Genomic DNA, 25462 nt, shown 5'->3' with positions numbered 1-25462 from the left:
CCCATATATTTGGACAATTGGCACAATTTATATATGACACTTATTGGACCATTAGGAATTTGAACGATGGGTATTTGTCAGGAATTACTGTTAATAGTTTTATGGTTATGCTAGTGTTATAAACTGAAATATTTACACATGAGATGTCTAGAATTTCTTTTAAGGCAATATTGAGGGGAACAATGGGTGTAAAATATAGATGAAACATGATTATTATTGAAGACAGATGATGGGGACATGGGATTATGTTGTATTTTTCTACTTCTGGATATTTAAAAACTTCCATAGTAAAAAGTTTAAGAAGAACAAATGTGCACCACTCCTTGTGCCTTATCAGTTTCCTCCATCTTATCTTCTCTTAAATTTTATTTATTTATTTATTTATTTATTTATTTATTTTTTTGAGACGGAGTTTCACTCTTGTTGCCCAGGCTGGAGTGCAGTGGCGCAATCTAGGCTCACTGCAACCTCTGCCTCCCTCTGCTGTTTTGCTTCCTGGTTTCTTTCTTAGCCTGCTCCAGGTTCAAACAATTCTCCAGCCTCGGCCTCACAAGTAGCTGGGATTACAGTGCGCCACCATGCCCAGCTAATTTTGTATTTTTAGTAAAGACAGAGTTTCGCCATGTTGGTCAGGCTGGTCTTGAACTCCCGATCTGCCTGCCTCGACCTCCCAAAGTGCTGGGATTACAGGCGTGAGCCACCGTGCCCAGCCTCTCTTAAATTTTCATACCCTAGTGCCTACTTCAAAGCTACCACACAGAATGGAGCAAGAACCACCACTCCCGATCTCACTCTCGACTTGCTCATGCTGTGATGGGCAGAACATTGGTAGTGTTAGGGTCAGCAGTTGTTCCCCTTATGGCCAACATGGTATTTCTTTGGCCGTAATATCTATGATTATGATAACAAAAATATCTCAAATTATATTTGATACTCTGAAATAACAATGAAAAATGCTAAAATTAAATTTAACATTTTGACATCAGTCATTTTCAAATTGAAGTCCTGCTCAATAAAATGGTTAGGTTTAGGCCATCAAAAGGGTACTGTGTAGAAATAGACTCTAAAGCATTTAAGAAGAATCCATGAGTGCATAAGGACACTTGAGGAGAGGAAGAGAGATGTGGGGAAACTCTGCTTTACAACTTGTCAGCCAAAACAAGTAGAAAAAGAATGCCACGATTTTGTAGCCCTCTTTTGACCCCCATGACCATGTTATAAATGATTTGGGCAAAGATTTTCCATGGATACTAAAACCTCAGTGAAAAGTTCTTGGGGAACAGGATATACACAAGGTCTCAAATTATTGCTTCACAGACTACTTATTGATTACAAAAAGAAAACTGTACTTTTACAGTAAAGATCTCTGATAGCCATCACCCATTAACCAGGTGATCAAACTTGGCATCACCAGCAAGCGGGACACCCTGATATTGTATGACCCCTGATGAGCTGCAGTAAGAAGCAGACATCGCCACCGCTGTGGATGTCCTGCCAAAAATGTTTCTCCTGAATTTACTCACGAGGAAATAAGACAATATGTTAGAGACATGAAGGTTATATGGGTGCTTTTGTTATTATTCTTCTAGATTTTCTCTAATTTTGAAATTTTAAAAATACAAAAGTATTGAGTTAAAATCAATTCATCTCTCCAAAAGTGTGGCAAAAGTCAAAGCAGAATTCTACCTGATCCTCCACTGACCCAAAGCCATATCCTCCGTGACCTCTATTTTGTCACAGTGCTGAACAATATAACTTTTTCCTGTCTCCATTAAGCCAAGACATTGAAAAGCAGCAAAAAGCAAAGTACAGCTGACAAAACAGGTCTACTGGCTCCAGAAGTAACTTCCAAATCTGGAAGCAAATCCTAAACTTTCAAAACTTAATTTTTCATCTTTAAAGTTTTTAAAGTCGGCTGGGCACTGTGGCTCACACCTGTAATCCCAGCACTTTGGAAGGCAGAGGCGGGCGGATCATGAGGTTAGGAGTTAGAGACCAGCCTAACCAACATGGTGAAACCCCGTCTCTACTAAAAATACAAAAATTAGCCAGGCGTGGTGGCAGGTGCCTGTAATCCCAGCTGCTCAGGAGGCTGAGGCAGGAGAATCGCTTGAACCCGGGAGGCGGAGGTTGAGTGAGCCGAGATCACGCCACTGCACTCCAGCCTGGGCGACAGAGCGAGACTCTGTCTCAAAAAAAAAAAAAGTTTTAAAGTCCATTACACTTTTTCAACCTGAAAAAACAAAACAAACAAACAAAGACAGCCACTTGGGAGGCTGAGGCAGGAGAATCGCTTGAACCTGGGAGGTGGAGGTTGCAGTGAGCCAAGATTGTGCCACTGCACTCCAGCTTGGGCGACAGAGTGAAACTCTGTCTCAAAAAACAACAAACAAAAACAAAAACTAGTAGTATATTCTCATTCTTTAGGAATATTTAAAGATCTATAACATATTAAGTATAGGTTCTTAATGAAGCATTTCTTGTATATGAAGGAAATTGAATTTCAATTTTGAAGTCATGAGGAAAGTAAGTCCAACAAAGTGTCACAGCATTTTTTGTTTTATTGAAACAGCAGGTCAAAATTTGGTTAAATTTGACTCTGGCCACACTTCTGAAGAGATGAGTTGATTTTAACTTATATTTAACTTATATTTCATGTGTTTGAATAAACACATTTATCCAACTGTAGAATCCAATGAAAGAATTATATTTCACATAGTTCTTCCATTTTTCAAAAGCACTTGTTCAGATCGTTTTTCTCATTCTTGAATGTCTGCATTCAAAGAAATAACAAGCTGGGGGCATGGTGGCGTACACCTGTAGTCCCAGCCACTCAGGAAGGTAAGGCAGGAGGATCACTTGAGCCCAGGAGTTCGAGGCTTTGGTGAGCTATAATCATGCCTGTGAATACCCACTGCACTCCAGCCTGGGAAACATAGCAAGACCTCATCTCTAAAAAATAAAATAAACAAAGGAATAACACAATGTAGAAGAGCACTGAGATGTATTCCCTGTCCTCCAGAAAAAGGGATAACACCCATGGTAAAGGGCAAAATTAAGAAAAAGTAATAAGCCTGTTATTTACATTCTGTAGAGTGAAAAGTTGTGTTTAGTGCAAGAGCCATCCCGTGGTGTGCGTGTTCAATTATACACCAAATCCCCAACACTTCCAGATGGTAATAGCCACCAACTCCTTTGTTCTCATATATATTAAAAGGCTTAATATAAAATTAGATTGTGCCATTAGGTATGCTTTTTAGTATTAATAAATTTTAATCAAGGACTGTGATATCATGACTAGAAGCTTGGAATCTACAGCCCCATTCAACCAACCTCATCGTCTAGGAAGGGGAGAGGGATTGGAGAGTAAGTTCATAATTGATCATACCTACAAGATGAGGCTTCTATCAAAACCCCTGAACTTTCAGGTTGGTAAACACGTGGAGGTGTCCGGAGGGTGGTGTGCCAGGAGAGGGCATAGAAGCTCCTAGCACCTTCCCCCTTACCTTGCCCTATGCATCACCTCCATCTGGCTGTTCATCTGTAGCCCTTGCAATATCTTTTATAATAAATAGATAAATGTAAGTAAAGTGTTCCCCTGAGTTCTATGAGCTGCCCTAGCAAATTATGAAACCCAAGGAGAGGGAAAGTGGGAACCCCAATTTGCAACCAGTCGGTCAGAAGCACAGGTCACAACCTGGGAATTGCAATTGGCAATTGTCACTAACACAAAGGCAGAGCAAGCAAAGAAAGGGAATAAAGCATATAAAAGGTTCTCAACGTGGAGAGCTTTCAAAAAATATACTTCCTGGGATCCATTTCAGACTAGTCCTACTGGAATTTATGAGATTAAAATACTGACACTAAAATTTCTTCAAGATTCCCAGCTGATTCCTATAAGCATCCAGGGGTGAGGGCCACTGGTAACACAAAGGTTAAAAGAGGAGAGAGGAGGCAAAAAGACCATCAGAAAGTGTTATTTGTGATTACCAAGTTCTATATTAAAGCCTCACATTTTCCATTTAAACTACACTCTTAAACACAGTACCCTCTACTGGTCAGGAAGGGTTATCTATTATTCCTAGGTTTAAGGTACAGAAGAAATCTCCAACTTCCTTAATTAAGGAGAATATATGTAGAAGCAATTAGTGAATCTTTATTATTTCTACATTTTCTTATTATTTAAGTGTAAAGTGGGCTGGAGAACACTGTATTAGCAAAGACGATTCTAAACTTAATCTCAATAGGTAAGAGCAAGATATCTATTTTAAAAATGTGTAACGGGCCAGGTGCAGTGGCTCATGCCTGTAATCCCAGCACTTTGGGGAGGCCAAGGCAGGAGGATTACTAGAGGCCAGGAGTTCAAGACCAGTCTGGGCAATATATAGCGAAACTCCATTTCTATAAAAAAATAAAAAATTAGCCAGGTGTGGAGATGCACCCCTGTACTCCCAGCTACTTGGGAGGCTGAGGTGGGAGGATTGCTTGAGCCTGGGAAGTCTCAGCTGCAATGAACCATGATCTCGCCACTGTACTCCAGCCTGAGCAACAAAAGAAATTTTTTAAGTGTACTTGACTTTTCTCAAGGTTTGTCAACTTTAGCAACTACTGACATTTTGAACCAAATGATCTTGGTTGCAGAGTGCAAACTGTATGTAGATGGTTTTAGAATGTTCATAAGTAAGTTTTTTAAAGACATAGAATGCTACTGTACAAATATAAATTGTGAGTTTTAAATTCATTTCCCTTTAGTGTCTTCAACTAGTTACAAGACCATAAATTGATGCTGATGTTCCGTGCATTTTAGGATCTTTAGCTGTATTCCTGGCTTCTACCCACTAGATGCCAGTAGCAGCCCAACCCCAAAGTTGTAACTCCAAAAAGTCTCTAGACATTGCCAAATGTTTCAAATCAGTAATTTATCTAATCAAAGATGTTCCTAAGAAACTGATAATCAAAATATACTTTTAATTGTAAAAGATGATCCATTCACTAATGTTCTAAAAATGTAAATTTTTATATATCAACTTCATAAAGAATACCTTACAGTATCTTGTAATATATAAATTAAGAACAAGAAAAAATGAGTTTTACTTTTCTTTAACAGTGTTGCTTGGCAATATATTAATTACATATTAAGTCTATGAAGTAAAAGTTTAACCTACATCTACTGGTTGCTTTAATTTTTCACTTAAAGACCAGACCAAAATCAAAACCTTGGAACTTCTACTTTTCAACCTGAAATAATCAAACAATAACTATAATCCTAAAATAGCACTGACACAGTAAATATTATTCTTATGAGTGTTAATGGACGACACTGATATATCTCATATTGTAATCAATTTGAGAGTTGCCACTGAAATCAATTAAAAATGTTTATTCTGAAAGATGCTACTATAAAGTTTATAGACTCAAATGCTTATAATGCTTAATCAAAACTAAATTTACAAAAAAACCTAGAAACAGGTTGAATTGAAACCTGTAGATCATTTTATAATATTCATGAGCAACAACTTTTTTAAAGACAAAGGCTACTGTTTTAATATAAATTAAGAGCTTTAACATGATCTCCCTTTAGTGCTTTTAATTGTCACATGGCTGTAAACCAAAGACCCCTCCAAATTTTAAATGATCACTGATACTACTTGAGCAGAAATTCTCAGGTGTCAGTACTTTTAATGTTGTGTACATCAAATTACAGTACAAAGATGACTATAAACAAGATGCAGCCCTCGGTTTCCATGAACAGCACACTATTACAGTAAACCAAGTTTATATTCCACCATCAAGTGTGGCTCTCCCATGACTTCGCTTTGTGATGGATCTGAAAGCAAACAAAAACAAACATTTTAAAAGACTCTCAAAAAAGAGATACATTCAATGATTCTGCTTACATAAGAATCCAGAAGAGTCAAAACTAACCTAAAGTTATAGAAAACAAACCAGTGATTGCCTGGGGCTGGGGTGGGGTGACTGACTGAAAAGGGACCAAGGGAACTTTGTGAGGCAATGAAAACATTCTACTCCTCTGTTTAGGAGACCAGGTTCCATGTTAATTAAAACCCACAGAACTGTACACTTAAAAATAGGTGTACTTTATTGTATGTCAATAATATCTCAAAATAGTGGATTTAAAAAGAAAAAACAGATTGACAAAAGTTTTTTTTTCAAAGTTCTTAAGTTTTCTAGTGGCTTCCCACAGGACGGGAAACAATCTCTTAATTCACAAAAATGTTTTATCTGTATTGTCTTCTGACCTGTTGTATCCACACAAACGTAAGAATTCTTAAGAAAGAAAACCTTTAAAAATCATCACTTTTGTGTTTACAGATGAGTCAGACAAAAGCCTTATTTTAACTGTGATTATACACCTAAAAGAACTTTTAAAATTAATACCAAGCATAAGCTTCCTAAAGACAGAGACTTTTTCTTTGTCCTCTACTCAACATAGGACTAGAAACAGAATAAAAACCTAATGAACTAAATCGTAAAATCACTTTGTAAAAATGAATAACCCTGCACATAATAATGGTGGCTACCAAGAGGAACAGTTCAGTACAATGTGGATGTTTCCTCACTGGACCTCCTAAGAGACTGGAGATTAATAAACTGCTGTGTATATAAAAGGCACTCAAAACCTCAACTTAAAAAAAAAAAAGGCAATATTTTTGACTACATAGAAAGACACGCAGAACAGTCTGGAAGGACAGACTAAACCAAACTAAAACAGCCGGTAATTAGGGAACGAGAAAAATGGGATTGAGGGTCACTACAGCAAATCTGAGTTTCAATGGTAATATTTCAAATTTTTGCACAAAGAATATACTCATTTATGTAACTAAACTTTTCTCCACACCCTGCTTTTTAAAGCTTCTTTAATAAAATGCATTTATTAAATAAATCACTTGCACCAAAAGACAGCATATCATGTAAGCAAGGCACTGGTGGAGACGGGTTTTGCATCTGTTGTACCACAAGCTCGCCGTGAGACTCTGAGTGAGGACTGAGCCTCTGTGAGCTTCCATTTACTCATCTTCCAGTTAGGGGATTAGAGTACATGAAAGTCCCCTTCCAGCATTAAGAAAAAGTCTATTTTTGATTCTACTAGTGTCCTTATACGTCCTTCTTAATCTTGTAAAATGTACAGAATTAACTTGCCTAAGTACTTCACTGATAAGCAGGCAAAAAAGTCATCATCTCCAATACTGTCACAGTCTTTACACAGTATTTAGATTAACAAGCTACTCTCTGATTATAGACTTAACACTGTGTTTTGTGTCAAAGGTGATAAGAATGTGATCAACATGACCCTTAACTATGGATCAAGCCCCCTATCAGGTACTGGGAACACAACTGTTAACAAGAAAAAAATCTCCAGCTCTCCTGACACGTATATTTAAGTTGGACAAATAATAAATAAGAAAAATATCACATAAGTGTTATGTAAAGAATTAATATAAGGCAGGGTGACAGAGCGGGGATTACTTTAGATTAGGTAGTTGATATGGTTTGGATGTTTGTCCCCTCCAAATCTCATGTTGGAAATGTGATTCCCGGCCAGGCGCGGTGGCCCACGCTTGTAATCCCAGCACTTTGGAAGGCCGAGGTGGGCAGATCACGAGGTCAGGAGATCGAGACCATCCTGGCTAACACGGTGAAACCCCATCTCTAGTAAAAATACAAAAAATTAGCCAGGCGTGGTGGTGGGCGCCTGTAGTCCCAGCTACTCAGGAGTCTGAGGCAGGAGAATCGCTTGAACCCGGGAGGCAGAGCTTGCAGTGAGCAGAGATCGCGCCACTGCACTCCAGCCTGGGTGACAGAGAGAGAAAAAAAACAAAGCCATGTGATTCCCAGTGCGGAAGGTGGCCCTGTAGGGAGGTAACTGGACCACAGAGTTGAACACTTCATGGATGGTCTAGCACCACCCCCCGGATAAGTGAGTTCTTGTTCTGAGTTCACACAAGTTCTGGTTGTTTAAAGCTGTGTGGCAGCCCCCTCACTCTCTTGCTCCCTCTCGCCATATAATTCACTGGCCCCCCTTTGTCTTCTGCCACGATTGTAAGCTTCCTGAGGCCCTTACCAGAAGCAGATACCAGCACTATGCTTCCTGTACAGCCTGAGGAACCATATGCCAAAATAAATTTTCTTTACAAATTACCCAGCTTCAGGTATTTCTTTATAGCAATGCAAGAACAGACTAACAGTAGTTAACGGAGGACTCTCTGAGTAATATTTAGGTTGGGATCTGAAAAATGAGGGTAAACTATTTGAGGCAGAAAGGAACAGCTAATTCAGGTCCCTAAGGTGAAGCCCTAAGTTAACCGTATATTATGCAATAACAGTTCCCACAAGAAAAAAACTACCCCAAATACAGTGGTCTCACTGTAATCATCTACCAGGTGGATAAAAATCATCTACCTGGCCGGGCGTGATGGCTCACGCCTGTAATCCCAGCACTTTGGGAGGCTGAGGCGGGCAGACTACCGGAGGTCAGGAATTTGAGACCAGCTTGGCCAAGATGGTGAAACCCTGACTCTACTAAAATACAAAATTAGGCAGGTGTGGTCGTGGGCACCTGTAATCCCAGCTACCTGGGAGGCTGAGGCAGGAGAATTGCTTGAACCCAGGAGGTGGAGGTTACAGTAAGCCGAGATCGCGCCACTGCACTCCAGCCTGGGTGACAGAGCTAGACTCGTGTCTCCAAAACAAAAAAAATCTACCTAAACAGGTGATTTTTCCTAATAGCTACCTTAGAGAGACACAAGGAATGAATTTTAAAAGATGCCCACAAGATAGCAAGTGGCTTATTTTTTATTTTTTGAGATAGGGTTTCACTCTGTCGCCCAGGCTGGAGTACACTGGTGTGATCCCTGCTCACTGTGGCCTCAAATTCCTGGGCTCAAGTGATCCTCCTGCCTCAGCCTCCTGAGTACCTGGGACTACAGCTGCACACCACTATGCCCAATTAATTTAAAAAAAAAAAATTGTAGAGACAGGGTCTCATCTTACCCAGGCTGGTCTCAAACTCCTTGGCTAAACTGATCCTCCCACCTCTGCCTCCCAGAGTGCTGGGATTATGGATCTGAGCCACCACATCCAGCCAGCTAGTGACCTTTTTAAACATATAATTCCATCACATTACATCCTTACTTAAAACTGCTCAATGGCCTTTTTTTGCATTCTGAAGAAATTCTAAACTTCTTTTCATGGTCTGTAGGCCCTGATTCATCTGTTCCTTGCTGAGCTTTTTGATCTCAACCTTATTCTACTCTCTACTTTGCTCAAAACATGCCAGCCATATGGGCCTTCTTAAAGTGCTCTTATATATGCTGGGAGACAGTTCTCTATTGGTCTCTCCATTCTGCAAGCTGGGAGCAGAGACACTAAACTGCCTTTGTTCTAGGCTATCTTTCCAAAGCCGTTTCAGCCTCATAAGACAAAGCAGCACAGGACAGGCAGGTTTACTGCCAGTTATAAGGCTGAGGTGGCCTGAACATGGAGTTCCTCTCCTCTAACGTAACACACTCAATGTACAAGGCTTCACCTTACCCTCTTCTTAGCTGCCCCATAGGAAGTGGGGCTAAGGGAACCAAAAGAAATGCTGATACTCTGGCTACGCTATTGCTATGAATAAGAAACTGTCCTTTAGGAGTCTCTTGTCTTCTGCCAGCATCCATGAATTCATGGCAGGCTAACAAGTTAGCTTCAAAGTAGAGTAAGATCTCAAACCGTTCAGAGTTCTTCAGCTGTTCTCAGGTTACATACCCTGAACATACTCATCTCTTCTGTCTGAAATACTCTCCTTCTACTTCTAGGTCAATGATTTCATGTTTCTTTCAGAAATTCACTTCTGTGTTGTATTCCCAGAGGTATGTGCCCTCCCAACCCAAAAACATCCTTTTTATTCCTAGAATTATCAAATTGTATATTTGTGTTTATGTGTTTATCTCCCCCATTTGAAAGCACAGATATTTGTTTTGTTCACAGCTGTATATTCAGAGCCTAGCCCAGTGCCTGACACATATTTGACTGACTAGATAAATGCTCCTAAGTCCCTCTCCCTTTCTTTAAACAGAATTACAGAAGCAGATTTTTAAATGAATGCTTTTGTAACTAAAGACCTGAACTATCACCTTAGTAGTTTTAAATAAGGTCTAAGTTCAATGTAAAAGCTTAAGAATCCCAGCTTTTCCTGCATCCAAAATGCTCCCTCAGGGAAGATTCTGAAAGGAGGCTCACTAGACTTCTGTTATGTCCACAGCATTTCCTTACCGGACATCAGCAGCCAAGCAAAACTAATAAAACTTAATCCTGTTGGATATTTTTGTTTCTCCTGCACTGCTGGGGCATAACGAGCAGAGGCAGCATTGGACAGGATTGTATTTGTTTATCTTCCTCAGGACCAGAAAAAATAGAGGATGCTGCATATATTGTTCTTACTTAAATTCATTTACAATTATTCAGGGAATTTTATTAAAAATAACAGATTCGGCCGGGTGCAGTGGCTCACGCCTCTAATCCCAGCACTTTGGGAGGCCGAGGCGGGCAGATCACAAGGTCAGGAGTTCGAGACCAGCCTGGCCAACATGGTAAAACCCCGTCTCTACTAAAAATACAAAAATTAGCCGGGTGTGGTGATGGGTGCCTGTAATCCCAGCTACTTGGGAGGCTGAGGCAGGAGAATTGCTTGAACTCAGGAGGCGGAAGTTGCAGTGAGCTGAGATTGCGCCACTGCACTCCAGCCCGGGTAACAGCACAAGACTCCATCTTGAAAAAAAAAAAAAAAAAGACAGATTCCTCTTTCCTATTTATCACCTGTAGAAGTACAAAAATTACTTTTTTGGGGAGCTACTTTTTAAAGAAAGATTTATTTTCCAGTTGTTTAAAATGCTAGTCAAAAAACCCCAAAATCAAACTAAACACACAAAAACAACACCAGTCACATCCCAACAATGTGAATTCTGAAATAATTATCATTGTTTAAGTCACCCTAGGAATATCAGACTGACATATTACACTTGAAGCTCAGGACATGAAGTGAATAACCACCATTACTAGACTGAAATGACTATGTACTCTTAGAATTTCATAAATAATTTTCACTTTTTTTCTTTTTATATTTTTAGTAGAGACAGGGTTTCACCATGTTGGCCAGGCTTGTCTCAAACACCTGACCTGAGGTGATCTGCCCACCCCGGCCTCCCAAAGTGCTGGGATTACACGTGAGCCACCGCACCCAGCCAATCTTCACTTTTAAAAACAGTTAAAGAACAGTTACTACCATTAAACTTTATCTTAATGCAATGAATAAAGTGAACCCAATCAGCTGTAAGTTCCATGAGGACAAGAATTTTGCCTATTCTTTTTGCAGCTGTTTGCCTTTTAAATTACAAGGGCTCCATAAAAAGGTGCTGAATGACACTTACCATTAAGAATATCCTCAAATCCAATAGTCTCATCATTACCCCTCAAAACATCCAGTGAAAGATTTGAGCTTGAAAGAAATGGAAGACGCTGAACCTTTGGGGAAAAGTATGAAGGGACAAGATTAGAAAAAACTCAGGGGAAAATGACAGAATATATAGTCTAATTTCATGTTCTTTATTCTTTGTTTGAAAATTCGCAAAACCAAATACAAGATCAATTTAACAAGTGGAAAAAAACACTAGTTCATATTTTAGACACAAACTAAGTTGTAAAGACACTGAAATTATACTTTTCATTAACAATAATCCTACCTGGTGTGCATGTATTTTGAGGCTTTGCTTCTGCTCAGGAAAACTACGGCATATACCATGTAATGAAATGCAAAATCCCAGAGCTTAACATCACGCCTCATTCCTGATACATGTAGGATGATCAAATTCCTGAAGAAAGTCCAACTCAATAGGTTGCTTAGGCTGGTCTCAAACTCCTGGGCTCTAGTGATCCTCCCACTAAAACTGGGATTACAGGTCCATGTCACCAAGCCCAGCTAATGCAGATAATTTTTGATATTCCCACAGACTACCAAAATAGGTGGTCTTTGACTAAATGATAGTAGTATTTTAAAGATAATCACACCGTTAGAATCTAAGAGGGCAGTTTCTCACATTCCCCCCACCCCCAACAAAATGTATCCAGACTAAATATATTATTTTCAATTACTAATGTTCCATAGAGATATTTAAAATCTTTATAGTGTGGAAAAATTTCTCTAGATTGTCAAACCTAAAAAAAAAAAGGAAGTGGGAGGAAGAGGAAGAAACAAAAATAGGAACCTGTAAATTAAACCAGACAGCAAGGGGTCTGGTAGTTAGATCAGAGTACAGTCCTAAGAATGCATCAAAAGCAGGGAGGAGCAGGCAGCTGTTATACATCTTGACAACCCAAAACTGCAAAAGTATAGAGATAAGAAAAAAAAAAAAAAGACAGAGAATTCTGGGCAAAGATATTTGGATCAAATAGTATTAAAAACTTAAATCCAGAATTTGAGCAATCTGTAGTTGAAATCTGAGTAAGAGGAAAATAAAAAGGGAAGCTAACAATTTTGTGCCAAACATGTGATTTCATTTAATCTTCAGAATAATCCTATGCTACTCTTACTGTTCTCCTTATTTCACATTAAATTAAAAAATCTAAGGTTCAGAAAGCTCTCCAGCTTACTCAAGTTCTTAAGACTAGTAGATGGCTAAGCCAAGATTCAACCCTAGGTTACTCAAAACCATGTTTTTTAAGAGCTTTATCTTTGGAAAACGAGTAGCTTCCAGAATGACTTAGCCAAATACAATTGATAGTATTAGTAGAATTTATCTTATTATTATTTTTTTTGGAGATGGAGTTTTGCTCTTGTCGCCCAGGCTGGAGTGCAATGGTGTGATTTTGGCTCACTGCAACCTCTGTCTCCTGGGTTCAGGCAATTCTCCTGCCTCAGCCTCCCGAGTAGCTGGGATTACAGGCACATGCCACCAGGCCTGGCTAATTTTTGTATTTTTAGTAGAGACGGGGTTTCACCATGTTGGCCAGGCTAGTCTCGAACTCCTGACCTCAGGTGATCCATCTGCCTCGGCCTCCCAAAGTGCTGGGATTACAGGCATGAGCCACCCAGCTCGGCCAATAGAAATTTATTGAAAAAGACAATTTAGCTAGGTCAGAGAAAGGAATCTGCACCAGTAGGAGAAATGTGTGCAAACGCCTAACAGTGAAAGAACTTAATGAATTAGGAAACTGCAAGTAGTTTAAGAGGATAAGAAGTGTGGTGGGAAGCAAGGAGCCAATTCATGGACAGAGCCACACTAAGTGTTGGGTTTTATTTTTATTTAGAGGGTAAAGTGAGGGGAATGACATAATCAAATCTGTGTTTTACAAAGATTATTCTGATTAGAGTCTTAACAAGGATTGGAGGGGCAGCAGGGATGAGTGTTGCAGTAATCCAGATGAAGTCTGACAGGGGCAAGGACCAGCATAGTAGCAATGGTGGGGAGAGCAAGTAATAAACTGAATGATTTGGGGGAGCAGGGGAAGAGGTTAGGATGGGTGCTAGGTGACATAACCAAGGCTAATTATCCAATTTCTGCCTTAGGCAGAAACCTATTCATATGGGATAAGGAGTATGTGGGGGATTATGGGATTATGAGTTATTCTGTACTTGTCCATGTAAAACTGGAGGTGCCTGTGGGACTTCCAATTGGGCTTTCCAATTGGAAAAGCCTATAGGTTTATAGCTCATGAGAATTGTAACTTGGGGGTCATCAACATATTTTATTTTTTGAGACGGAGTCTCATTCTGTCACCTAGGCTGGAGTGTAGTGGCACGATCTCGGCTCACTGCAACCTCCGACTCCCAGGCTCAAATGATCCTCCCACCTCAGCCTCCTGAGTAGCTGGGACTATAGGTGTGCACCACCACGGCTGGCACATTTGTTGTATTTTTTTTTGTAGAGATGGGGTTTTGCCATGTTGCCCAGGCTGGTCTTGAACACCTGAGCTTGAGTGATCCACCCACCTTGGCCTCCCAAAGTGCTGGGATTACAGGTGTGAGGCACCACGCCCAGTTGGAATCATCAACATATAATTGATAACTAAAGCAACAAGTAGGAAATAGGGTCAGGAAAGGACTAGAGATGGGGCACTAACAAAACTGGCATTTTAGGAAACAGGCAAAACAAATGGAACCTACACAGAGACACCTGAGAACAAGGATTCAGAAAGGAGGACATCAGGAAAGTGTGGTGTTCTAAAAGCCAAGGAGGTGGGATGATAGCTTGAGGCCAGGAGTTTAGGACCAGCCTAGGCAACATAGCAAGAGCCCGTTTCTACAAATCATAATTTTTAAAACTAGCCAGGCGAGGTAGCAAGTGACTGTAGTCCCTGCTACTCAGGAGAGTGAGGCAAGAGGATTGCTTGAGCCCAGGAGTTTGAGGATGCAGTGAGCTATGATCATACCACTGCACTCCAGCCTGGATGACAGAATGAGATCCTGTATCAAAAAAATAAATACAAAGTAAAAACATAAAAGCCAAGGGAAAAAGGAAGAAGCCATTATTAGTGTCAAATACTACAGGGAGATGAAGTAAAGTGAAGGTAAAAATGTCCACATTGTTCAGGAGCAGTTTCATTGGTGTCATGGGAGACAGAAACAGTGGGTTAAATAAATAGCAGGGAAAGGAGTATAGAAAGCAAATGTAGACAACTTTTCAAGAAGCAAAAGCACACTCAATGAGAGACAAGTTACTATAAAGGAATTTGAAATTGATACAATTTTTTTTTGTTTTAAAAGACAACAGCGGTTCAAATGCTACTGCTGAGACAGAGCAAGCAGAGAGGGGTTAAAGATATCAGCTTGAGAAGGCATCATTGATAAAGGGATTTTCCTGAAGTAATGTAACAGGATAGAATCCAAAGCACAGGTAGGAGGGTGGTTCTTACATAATTGGAAGGACATTTTCCAAGTACTTATTCCTTAGAAACAGGTATATTCAACTATATACAAATTGTATACTTGACACCTCCACTTGGATATTCTTAGAGGGATCTCAAATTCAATGTAATACATAAAAAAAAAACCCAGAAAAACATGAAAGCAGATGCAGGTAAGTTTTCAGACACTGAGCCTGTAATTTGAAGTTTTCCATTTAATGACTTCTTTTTTCCCTCTATGAAGTAGAAATCAAGGTCATACCCTAAAAAGGGGGAGGGAAGTAGAATAGGTTGTAAGGTAGATAAGGTATAAATAGCTGTTATGAAAACAGAAGATTCCTCATGAATGATATCGACACATATGCAACAGAGATCCATCAACTCACCTGCTGCACTGCCTTGAATTCCATCTGTAATTTTAGCGGAGCAAATAGACCCTGAATGTTTCTCAGTGTGGAAAAATTCATTTTATCTTGGTTGAGCTGGAACTACAAAAGACAATGTAATTTTAAACATTACACTCAATACTCTGCTTTCAAAACAGTTAGCAGTGGCATATATATAACACAATAGTTAGATGAAGAATTTTAATATCCATACCTGTAATAAAAACTAAGTATTTTTACTAATTTTTTCTGACAAATTTTAGACCACATATGTCTATATTTCATTTAGCATGCAGGTGTACTTTTACCAGAGTAAAATTACTACCAAAATTCCAAATTTATAAAAGTAAAGGAATGTGTCTCCTATTCAAAAGTAGATTTACAAGACAATCATATTTTAGCGCTTTTGATTAAAAGTACTGCAAAACTAGCAAAGGTGTAATTTGAGATCCAGAAAATGTCACATCCACTGACAAAAATAGTTAATTTCTAAGTATGAAGGCATATATTTAAAAGGATTCAGCAAAAGAAATAATCTGACCACTAAATCATCCTGTTAATTAAACTATGTTTAAACTCCACTTATTTTTGGTACTTGCCTCAGGGGAAAAACAAACATCTCTCAAAAGTTTATTCAATTTGTATTGGGTACTAATCAGCAATTTTTCCTGGATCATACTTTCACTAAGTACTGATATTACATTTAGGGAACTTTGGCCATAACTTAATGTATTTCAGGCAAAATGAATCGACTTGACTCATGGATTCTAAAACAGTTTCCAAAAATGGCTCCTAAGGATAGTGAATGTAATATGCAAACAGACTGTTACAAAGATTTGTCTGAGCTAAGGTGATTATAATGAGGTAAAGTCATTTCTTGTCATTTTTTATTACACGCTACTCTCTTGATAACATTGTCTTCTAATAGTAATCAAAAAGGTCATTTTGAACAAAAATCTATTGAGAGATTAGCACCTACTTGGGATATGACTATGAAGTTTGAAAGTAAGGTGACTAACCAAATGCTTTTTAATTACTTTAGCTTTACACAGCAAATTTTGACAGATGGTCCTTAGGGAAAACCTGCAGTATTTTATTATGGGTATATGATCTGAAGTTCTAAGTGAAGGGTTTGCTTTAAATATTGGCTTATCCTCATGATAATACAATTTTATTCTAAGAGACGGGTCTTGCTATGTGGCTGGAGTGCAGTGGCTATTCACAGGCACGATTATAGAGCACTACAGCCTCGAATTACCAGGCTCAAGCAATCCCCCGCCTCAGCCTCCCACGCCGCTGGGACTACAGGCACACCCCACCACACCCAGCAGTAAATGTAATTTTATGTATAATAACTCAATTTATGTAAATTTTGATGAATACAGCCATCTTGTAATGTGATATTAATACTGTAATTATCAATCAACATGTAAGTTAGCAACCGTGTGCAAAATTAGGCTCTGTGGCAACACACAACAAAACTGAACAGCCTACCTTGGAGATTATAATCCAGTTTGGAAGACATTATGTATGTATCTCAACCCTCCGCACTACTGATTTCTTGGGCCAGATAATTCTTCACTGTGGCAGGCTGTCCTGTGTACTGTAGGATGTTTGGCAGCATCCCTGGCCTCTACCCCATAGATGCCAATATTACATCCCCCCATCCCCCACCGCACCACTTGTGACAACCTAAAATGTCCTCAGACTTTGCCAACTGTTCCCTTGTAGGGGGCAGGAGGATGATCCTCCCCTAGTTGAGAACCACTGGTACAAATGATGATGGCCATCTTCCATCACTATCACCACTGAAGCTCCCAATCATGCAGAGCTACTAGAGGCCAGCAATATGCCAAGGATGGGCTATTACTAACTCCAGATGAGAAGACTAAGGCTTAAAGAAAATTAAGCAATATGCCCCAAGTTTACTTAGCAAAGTGGGGTGCCCACATAGTTCAACTACACAATCCATGCTGAAGGATTTATAATAGACAGTAAGAGTCACATAAAGAGTGAGACTGCCATTAGCTGGCTAAATGATTAAAGAAGAAGAGATGCAGTAGATGTATGTAAGTCTCAAAAAGATCTCTGAAGTTTTTAGATTCTTCACAGTTCCACCTAGTCTCACTCAGATTTGTCAGTTTCTCTTAATATGTATTGCTTAGAACTAAACCAATATTCCAAATCTAATAGCCAGACTAATACACAGGAAAATAATATAATCTCCCTTGATTTGAGCCCCATCTTATTAACAAAGCCCAAGACTGCATTAACCTTTCTTTTTAGTAACTAACGTAATCTGCTGGCTTATAGTGAGTATACAGTCAATTAAAATAGTCAAGTTTTACAGAGCAAGTCACTTTACCCTGCCCAAAGGTGTAGAATTCATTTTTTGAATCCAAACGCAGAACTTCACACTCACCTCTATAAATGTTTTCCTTAAATTTTGGTCTAGACTTTGGTCTATTTTATCACCATGATATAGTTCAATTATTCAACAGAATGAACTATCCTTCTCAACCTTTTTTCCAAAAACCTAATATACATTCTTTCTTTGGTTGCCCACAAGTCCTTGAAAAATACTTATCCTTCCTATGTGTCCACCTGACTACCTAAGATGTAGACAGAGGCCAAAAAGCCCTATCAAAATATTCCCTCCAAATTGACTATTCCCTAATCACCGTTCTCTGGGTACAGTTACCAACCTCATATACTTTACCCTACACTACTTTCACTCGGTTAATAATCCACCATGTAATCCTCAATCTTATCCCTTGTCAGATAATTTGATCCCTTGACTGACCCATTTGGCAACTGAGTAAAAGAGTGAACTAAAATTAATTTGCTGAGTTCATTCAGATGCTGATGATCACTGCTTACCCTATTAAATGCTCACAGCTCACTCAATAGTCCACTTAAGAAACAGTTTCAGGGATCAATGTTACCACAGACAATCTTATTTTTTAGTTAGATCCTTTATACAAAAGTGGAATATGTATCCATCTATAACCAATTTTCATTTCTCCCATTAGTTCTCAAAGATGATCAACTGTGCTTTTATAATCATACTCACATACTTATAAGTGTACTCTGGGCTGTCAACTTCTGCACCTGAAACCTGAATTCACTTAAATCGATGAGGAATTTTTTTATTTTTCTCATCTAATTTGAACTTCAATTTCATAATTACATTATTTGTTCTACTCTTTCTTATAGGCAGACCTATCCTCTTATTAGAAAGCGAAACAAACAAACAACAAAAACAAAATACAGATCAGTTTTCTGTTACCTAACAACTGCATCATCTTCCCCAAGTAGTCAGAAACCTTTTTCTTCTTCCTCTAAATGTTTATTTAAGAATCCTTTAAATTGTGTTTTGGACATGTATACATGCTATCCTCTCTTTAGGAGTAAACTTTCTGGTCTAAAACTGTTCAAAGGTCCCTCCTCTTCTATAAAGCCTTCCAAAAAAGCCCTAAGCACAGGTGGCTGTCACATCCTTGGTCTTCTCTAGCATTTTACGAAGCCTTCTCCTACCCACTGCTTGTCTTCCTCATTAAATTTTAAGTTATTTAAGGATGGGGATGATGTCATATTCATCGAAGTACCTACTGTGCCTAGTGGCTGTGTCCTACAGTAACTCGGAGATGCAGGACTTAAAGAGGTCAAAACTAGAGATATGAACTTGGAAGTCAACAGCAAAAATGGCAGGAAAAATATAAAAGAAACAGCATTATTGAAAGAGAAAATTCCTGTGAGAGGAATGGAGAAGTGGATCACCCTTTGGAGACGTACATTAAAAAGGCAGGTAAGAACGCATAGAAAGGGAGCTTTAGAGGAGCAGTGTAATTTTTAAGTCTATCCTACAAGGGGTTTGAAAATAACGCCTCATATTCTTCATGGGCAAATCCTCAGTACCAAAATTGTTTTAATAAAATGAAACCAATATTAGTAAAAGTATTTATCTATTAGAAGATAAAAATAAGGACATAATAATATACTTACATTTTTTTCTGATAATTCAAGGGGATGACTAGGCAAAAGTTCATTTTTCACACAAGAAAAACTGAAAGGACATTAAAAAAAAAACATTTAGAGGAGATTAAATATCACTCAATACCCAGAGCTCAAAATCATATCTATAAAGGGATGGCATGAGAGAGTTTTTTGGGGTGACAAAACTGTTCTGTATCTTGACTGTGGTGACAGTCATAGGAATTGATACATGTGCTAAAAATTCATAGACCTACACACCAAAAGGAAAAAAAAAGGTATATATAATAATGTAAGAATGTATCCATTATAGACATTGGTGGTCAAGACTTCAATCACTAGGGAAAACTTGCCAAAATCTGGTGCCACATCTAGAAGAAATTTAATGAATGTATGTTTATTGCTATTACTCTGATGAGGTACTTCTTGCACTATATAAACTAAGCCTATTCCCTTCAGGTCTAACACTTTCAATATTTAATATATCTTTAATAAACATGTTGAACAATAGGTTTAACATTTACTGAACACCTACTATGTATAAAGTATGTTAGGTAAGGCACAACTAGAACCAGGCCACTGGTCTTTATCACTCTAGCTATATAAAGATGACTACCTTATTATCCAAACTAGGATTTTAAAGCTAATAAAAACCTTAGAAACCCTGCAACAATTGTTTATTGAATATTGTCTTTTTACAAAACATTATCCAGGAAGTGGGTTTTGAAAATGGTCCTGCCCCAGTCCAATCAGGAAGAAGAAGGAACATTTCATGTGGGGGGAAAAAAATCTTCAGACCTTAGTTACTGCCTAGCCAATCAACTTGATTATAAATATCAAATTATATCTCCAATTTCACAGGCTATATGCTGCATTTTTTTACTACAAAACTGAAAGTCTGTAATGAGGGATTATATTTGTACTCAGACACCAGCATTAGAATGCCATTCTATTATAGTAAGAGTAAATTACGGCCAGACGCAGTGGCTCACACCTGTAATCCCAGCACTCTGGGAGGCCAAGGTGTACGGATCACTGGAGGTCAGGAGTTCAAGGCCAGCCTGACCAACACAGAGAAACCCCGTCTCTACTAAAAATACAAAATTAGCCGGGCATGGTGGCACATGCCTGTAATCCCAGCTACTCAAGAGGCTGAGGCAGGAGAATCACTTGAACCCGGGAGGCGGAGGCTGCGATGAGGGGAGATCGCGCCATTGCACTCCAGCCTGGGCAACAAGAGGAAAATGCCATCTCAAAAAATAAATAAATAAACAAAAAATAAGAGTAAATACTTTAAAATTAGATGTAAAATTCAAAAATTCAAAACACAAAATGTTTATGGGGGAAAGGTCGTTATCCTTATTTTATTAAGCAGAAAAGTGACCTGCAAAGAGTATGGTCTAGTACCAGAAACTGAGACCTAAACATACAGAAACAAAAAGGAAATCAAAAACATGGCGTAACTGCATGCTAAAGCTAGAAAAGAAAAAAAATGGTAGCCAATACATACTGAGTGCTTCTAATGTCAGGTACCATTTAAAATATTTTTCAGGTATTAACTCATTTATTCCTCAAAAGAAGATACAGACTATTATTAGGCCTATTCTATCCATAAGGACACTGAGACATTAATTATGTGATTTGTCCAAAGGCACACATCTAGTAAAGAGCAGAGCCACGATCCAAACCCAGGCCGACTGAATCCAGAGTTTAATCTCTCAACTGCTATGTTCTAGTGCCTCCCAAAGAAAAGTGAATTACCCTAATAGTTAAGACAAGAAGGCAAATGGCTAAGTTATCAGTAGCAAAAAAATAAATAAAAAGAATCCTACCAAATCATGCTAATGGGCACCACTGCCTAGGAGGATGCTCTAATTGGGAACCTACTACTTTGATGAGACACCTCTTCCACTACAGAAAATATCTAAGCCTCTTCCCCTCTGCACCCCATGTAAGGTATATTACTTGCCATCTGCCAACTAAATACACATGTATAGCCTATCAAAATACTTAAAGAATATTGTGAAAATTCACAGAAACATAACAAAATCAAAGTCATAACTCCCCCATATACCCTTTCCGAAGAAGATCATGACTTTCAAAAGGTCCACTTGCTGAAAGTTCAGTAACTGGAATACTGTCCTTTAGCTCAGATCCAAGTCCTCTGGCATTCTACAACACAAATAAAAAACATTATTAAATAGAAAAAAAATTTAAACACACACCCAGGCAGCTGTGTCAAAAATATTGTTTAAGTAGGAGACAGAAAAATAAGAGGCCCTCAAAAAGTCCAGACTAGACAATTACAGCAAGCCTTAAACATTATGATATGATAGAGACACACATGGTACAATGAAAATACCAAATTTAGATGTGGGAAGGATTCCTGAGGTGATCTCTGAATGCTGTCAGTTTGAAAGGCATTCCAGGAAAAAATAACATGAATAAAGGCAAGAAAATATAAATGAACAAGCTTCAGGTAGTTTGAGATAACTGGCTAAATATGTTTCCAGTGAGGCAGAAGTAAAGGCTGATGAAATACAAAAGTGAAACATCTTATGTGCAAAGAAATATGGGTTTTATTCCAAAACTGAAAGCCTCTGAAAGGTTATGGCATGATTGAATTTGTTTCCCCTGGAAAAACCACTCCCTTAGGTTAGAGTGTATAACACAGAATAAAAAAGTTGAAGACAGCATCCTCGGGAATACTATTCCCTGAGGACAAGGAAAAACAACACAGAAATGGGATTAACAGACAGGATGGATAAAGAAAAGTAGAGAAGCTGGGAAAAAAAGGGAATTTCAGAAAGTGTTTGGTTTCTATATGAAGATAGCGCTACCTATAAAAACTATGTGTATCTAATCAGGATAGTATAAAACAAAGTAAAAAAGACAGTGCATTTGGTATTGGTGTATGATTACCCTACGCTACTGTGAAATGCGCAATCACCAGATACTTATTAGCCATCTACTATGTGTCAGGTACTCTGCTAGATACTGAAGCTACATGTCTACCTCCCGGGGCTTCAGCTTATGAAAATATATTAAACAAGCAAAGAAAACATGGTGTTACAACAGGCAAAGCATGAGATGCTAACTTTATTTATTTACTTTTTGAGATAGGGTCTTGCTCTGTCATCCAGGCTGGAATGCAGTCGAGCAATCACGGCTAACTGCAGCCTAGACTTCCCAGGTTCAAGCGATCCTCCTGCCTCAGCCTCTCAAGTAGCTGGGACTACAGGCGTGCAACATCACGCCTGGCTAATTTTTTTATTTTTTGTGGAGATAAGGTCTCAACTATGATGGCCAGGCTAGTCTCAAACTCCTGTGCTCAAGCCATCTTCCTGCCTCAGCACCCCCCAAAGTGCTGGAATTACAGGTGTCAGCCAGCATGCACGGCCCAAGACGCTAACTTTAAATCACTTGTTGCTCAAGTCCAATATCCCTGTGATTCTGCAGAAAAATGTAAAACAGCTACAGGTAGTTTTAGTATCAAATTTTATATTATTCTAGAAGAAAATATTCTGAGAAGTCAGCTTTTTAACTGATTTCTTAATTCGTTTGTATATTTGATTTAGTCAGGTATTTTATCCTTTGCAGGGTTTCTTCACTATACCACTCCAGCCCAGCCTATCACACATGGATAACTTCAACAGCATTCTACTGGGTCTTGCTGCCTTTAGACTCACCCATTTTCCAGTTCTGTATATCAAGGTTTTCCTCAAGCATGAAACCTCCTCCAACAAAACTGCTATAAAATCTTTGTTGGTTCATCGATGTCTGAAGCACAAAGTTCAGACTCCTTAGCCTGGACCTAAAGAACCTGCATAATAGGTTCCAACTCCCCTACATACAAGAAGTCATGGTGGACGAGGAAAAGAATCTGGACTCTAGTGTGGACTGTCACTAACCTACTTTGTGACTGCCAGCAAAGCACCAACCTCTCTGGCCTTGTTTACTCATCTGCACCAAGGAGCTGAACTCCTACCAGGACTACAAATGCTCCTTGACTTATGATGGGGTTACTTCCTAATAAATCCATCTTAAATTGAAAATGTCAAAAGTCAAAAACACATTTAACACACCTAACCTACTAAACATCAGGCCTTAGCCTAGCCTACCTTAAATGTGCTCAGAACACTTACACTAGCCTACAGTCGGCCAAAATCATCTAATACAAAGCCTACTTTATTAAAAAGTACTGGGTATCTCATGTAATTTATTGAATACTGTACTGAAAGTGAAAAACAGAATGGCTGTATTGGTACTCAAATATGGCCTCTACTGACTGTGTATGGATTTCACACCATCATAAAGTCAGAAGATTGTTGAACCACCAGAAGTTGGGGACCTTCAGCAGAGATGTGTGATTGTTGCTTTCCAAATGTATCTTCTATTACTTCCCTATATGAACATTCTCCTCCTTCTGGACTGCTTTATTGTAAAGTAACAAGGTTTCAACGCACAAAGAAAAGGTGAATTCTGACTTCTGGATTCTGTTATTGTCATTTTTCCCAATTTCCTTCTGTAAAATATCAAGATTAGTACTTGCTGTTTCTAATAAAGGAAGGAGCCGAGAAAGGCAAATCTACGAAAACCTAACTACTAGTTACATTTGAGAGTGCCTAAAAAACTTTTTAGATAACGATTAGCAGTATTTACCAATAGAAACTTTCTAGATTTGGATGGATGGCCTACCAGCAGTACCGATATCAGAGTCTGTGGCAATGGTGACTCAGTGTTCTTCTCAAATACCACAACTTCTAAGTTAAAAAGAAAGAGAAAGTGGTGGGGAGGAGAAGGAGGGAGGAGATATACTAACAATACTGGCAAACAGGGAATAGCAACTGTCTGATTTTTTCCCCTCTAACATCTAGCACACTACAAGCTCTCAAAAAAGTTTGTAGAGCAAAGCTGCGTTACACAAATGCGACCTATAGTTGTGGGCTGTTTACTAGGCAGTTACAAGGGCGGGGGCTGGGGGAGATGAGGAGTCTGAGAGCTCTGGGCTCCCAGAGGTTACCCGTCAAGGAAAGGGTCGCCAGCGCCACCCCACAGAACGTTGCACTTTCACGGCTGCCTTTTCCACTTCTGCGCCAAGTAAGGGGAGGAGGTCTGGGCCTGCTGGGGTCTAAGGGATGGAAGGGCGCAAACCGAGCTAAGAGGAGCAGGATGAAGCCGAAGCACTGCTAGTGGGACTAGTGCCGGGCCCCGGCGACAGTCACGACCCACCCAAACCCCGTGACTCGACAGATTATGGCGCCTGAGGCCGGCCTCAGCCCCACGCTGCCGCCGCCGCCGCCACCGGGGACGGGTTGGGAGGCGACTGCCTGTTTCTGCCGAGCCACGGTCCCGAGCCCGCGTGGAACTCCAGCCGCCCGGGTACCCACTCACCATCTTCCGCAGCTCTGCGAACAGCCTCTCTGCCCCGTTACCGTCAGTCGACCCCGCCGCTCACTTCCGTTTCCGAGGGCTGGCCCCCACATCCGCCGGAAGTGCGTCCGTCCTGGCGAGGAAGGAAGGAGGGCGCGGGACGCCGGAGGGAGCTGCGCGGGGCCGAGGCTCCCACGCTTGCAATCCCAAGGGACCCAGGGCCAAGGGCGCAGTAAGGGTGTGGGCTGGGAGGAGGGAGGGGTCGGGACGAGACGTGCCTGAGGGGAGGGAAGACACGGACTCCGGTTTATTAATAAACATCTACGGTTTGTACGGCATTTTAAGATGTGCAGTGTGCTTTTGTAGGTACATCGCCTTATTTAACACAAAACCTCTCTGAGGTAGCTATTACATTTCACAGAAGGGTAAACGAGGCGTAGGTGGTTTGAGTGATTTGCTTGAGATCGTTCGGCTAATAAAGCAAAATTGGGACACAAGGCTTTTGTCATTTTTAAAAAACATAATATTGAAGGCCTGGTATGTTCCGAACCCTGTGCTGAGGCTAGGAATACAAAAAAGGACCAGGCCGGTGTGGCCTCTGGGCTAGAGGAGCAGGGGTACTCCGGAGGCTAGAGGGGAGAGAGGGGACGATAGTGACTACAAATTAAGTAAATGTGATCATGACCGACATATGTTGGGCCCTTTGAATTGCGTTATCAACACAGTTCTAAGTGCTTACATCCTTTATCTCTTTTAATCTTTTCAATAACCTTACAAGTACAATTTACAGGTGAAGAAACCGAGACATG

At 39.6% G+C, this 25462-nt stretch overlaps 1 protein-coding gene across 1 annotated transcript, besides 2 other annotated features; it reads right to left on the bottom strand.

Annotated features, from left to right (window-relative positions):
• Positions 4903 to 24732, bottom strand: POMP (proteasome maturation protein). The gene is made up of 6 exons (NM_015932.6): positions 24675 to 24732; positions 21355 to 21452; positions 19293 to 19353; positions 15288 to 15389; positions 11430 to 11523; positions 4903 to 5827 (listed from the first exon to the last, which is right to left on the bottom strand). The coding sequence occupies exons 1-6, from the start codon at positions 24675 to 24677 to the stop codon at positions 5760 to 5762; spliced, it is 426 nt and encodes a 141-aa protein (NP_057016.1). The 5' UTR covers positions 24678 to 24732; the 3' UTR covers positions 4903 to 5759.
• Positions 24800 to 24859: a silencer, noted in NCBI's record as "silent region_5217". NCBI's record gives its function as "represses an Ori minimal core promoter by ATAC-STARR-seq in GM12878 lymphoblastoid cells {active_cell/tissue: GM12878}" and the evidence as "EXISTENCE:reporter gene assay evidence [ECO:0000049][PMID:35858748]".
• Positions 25080 to 25239: an enhancer, noted in NCBI's record as "active region_7517". NCBI's record gives its function as "activates an Ori minimal core promoter by ATAC-STARR-seq in GM12878 lymphoblastoid cells {active_cell/tissue: GM12878}" and the evidence as "EXISTENCE:reporter gene assay evidence [ECO:0000049][PMID:35858748]".

Source organism: Homo sapiens, chromosome 13, assembly GCF_000001405.40.
Source record: "Homo sapiens chromosome 13, GRCh38.p14 Primary Assembly".
Taxonomy (NCBI): Eukaryota; Metazoa; Chordata; class Mammalia; order Primates; family Hominidae; genus Homo; species Homo sapiens.
The sequence above is the reverse complement of the archived record's forward strand: the minus strand, read 5'-3'. Positions and strand labels throughout refer to the sequence as shown.

What these genes read in the sequence shown, in the direction of transcription:
- POMP (NM_015932.6), bottom strand. An exon ending in CATGATCTTCTTCGGAAAGG is followed by an intron (nt 19,354 to 21,354) that starts GTATATGGGGGA and finishes ATGTCCTTTCAG; the next exon opens with TTTTTCTTGTGTGAAAAATG. An exon ending in TTGAATTATCAGAAAAAAAT is followed by an intron (nt 15,390 to 19,292) that starts GTAAGTATATTA and finishes TGTCTTTTGTAG; the next exon opens with TTCCAGCTCAACCAAGATAA.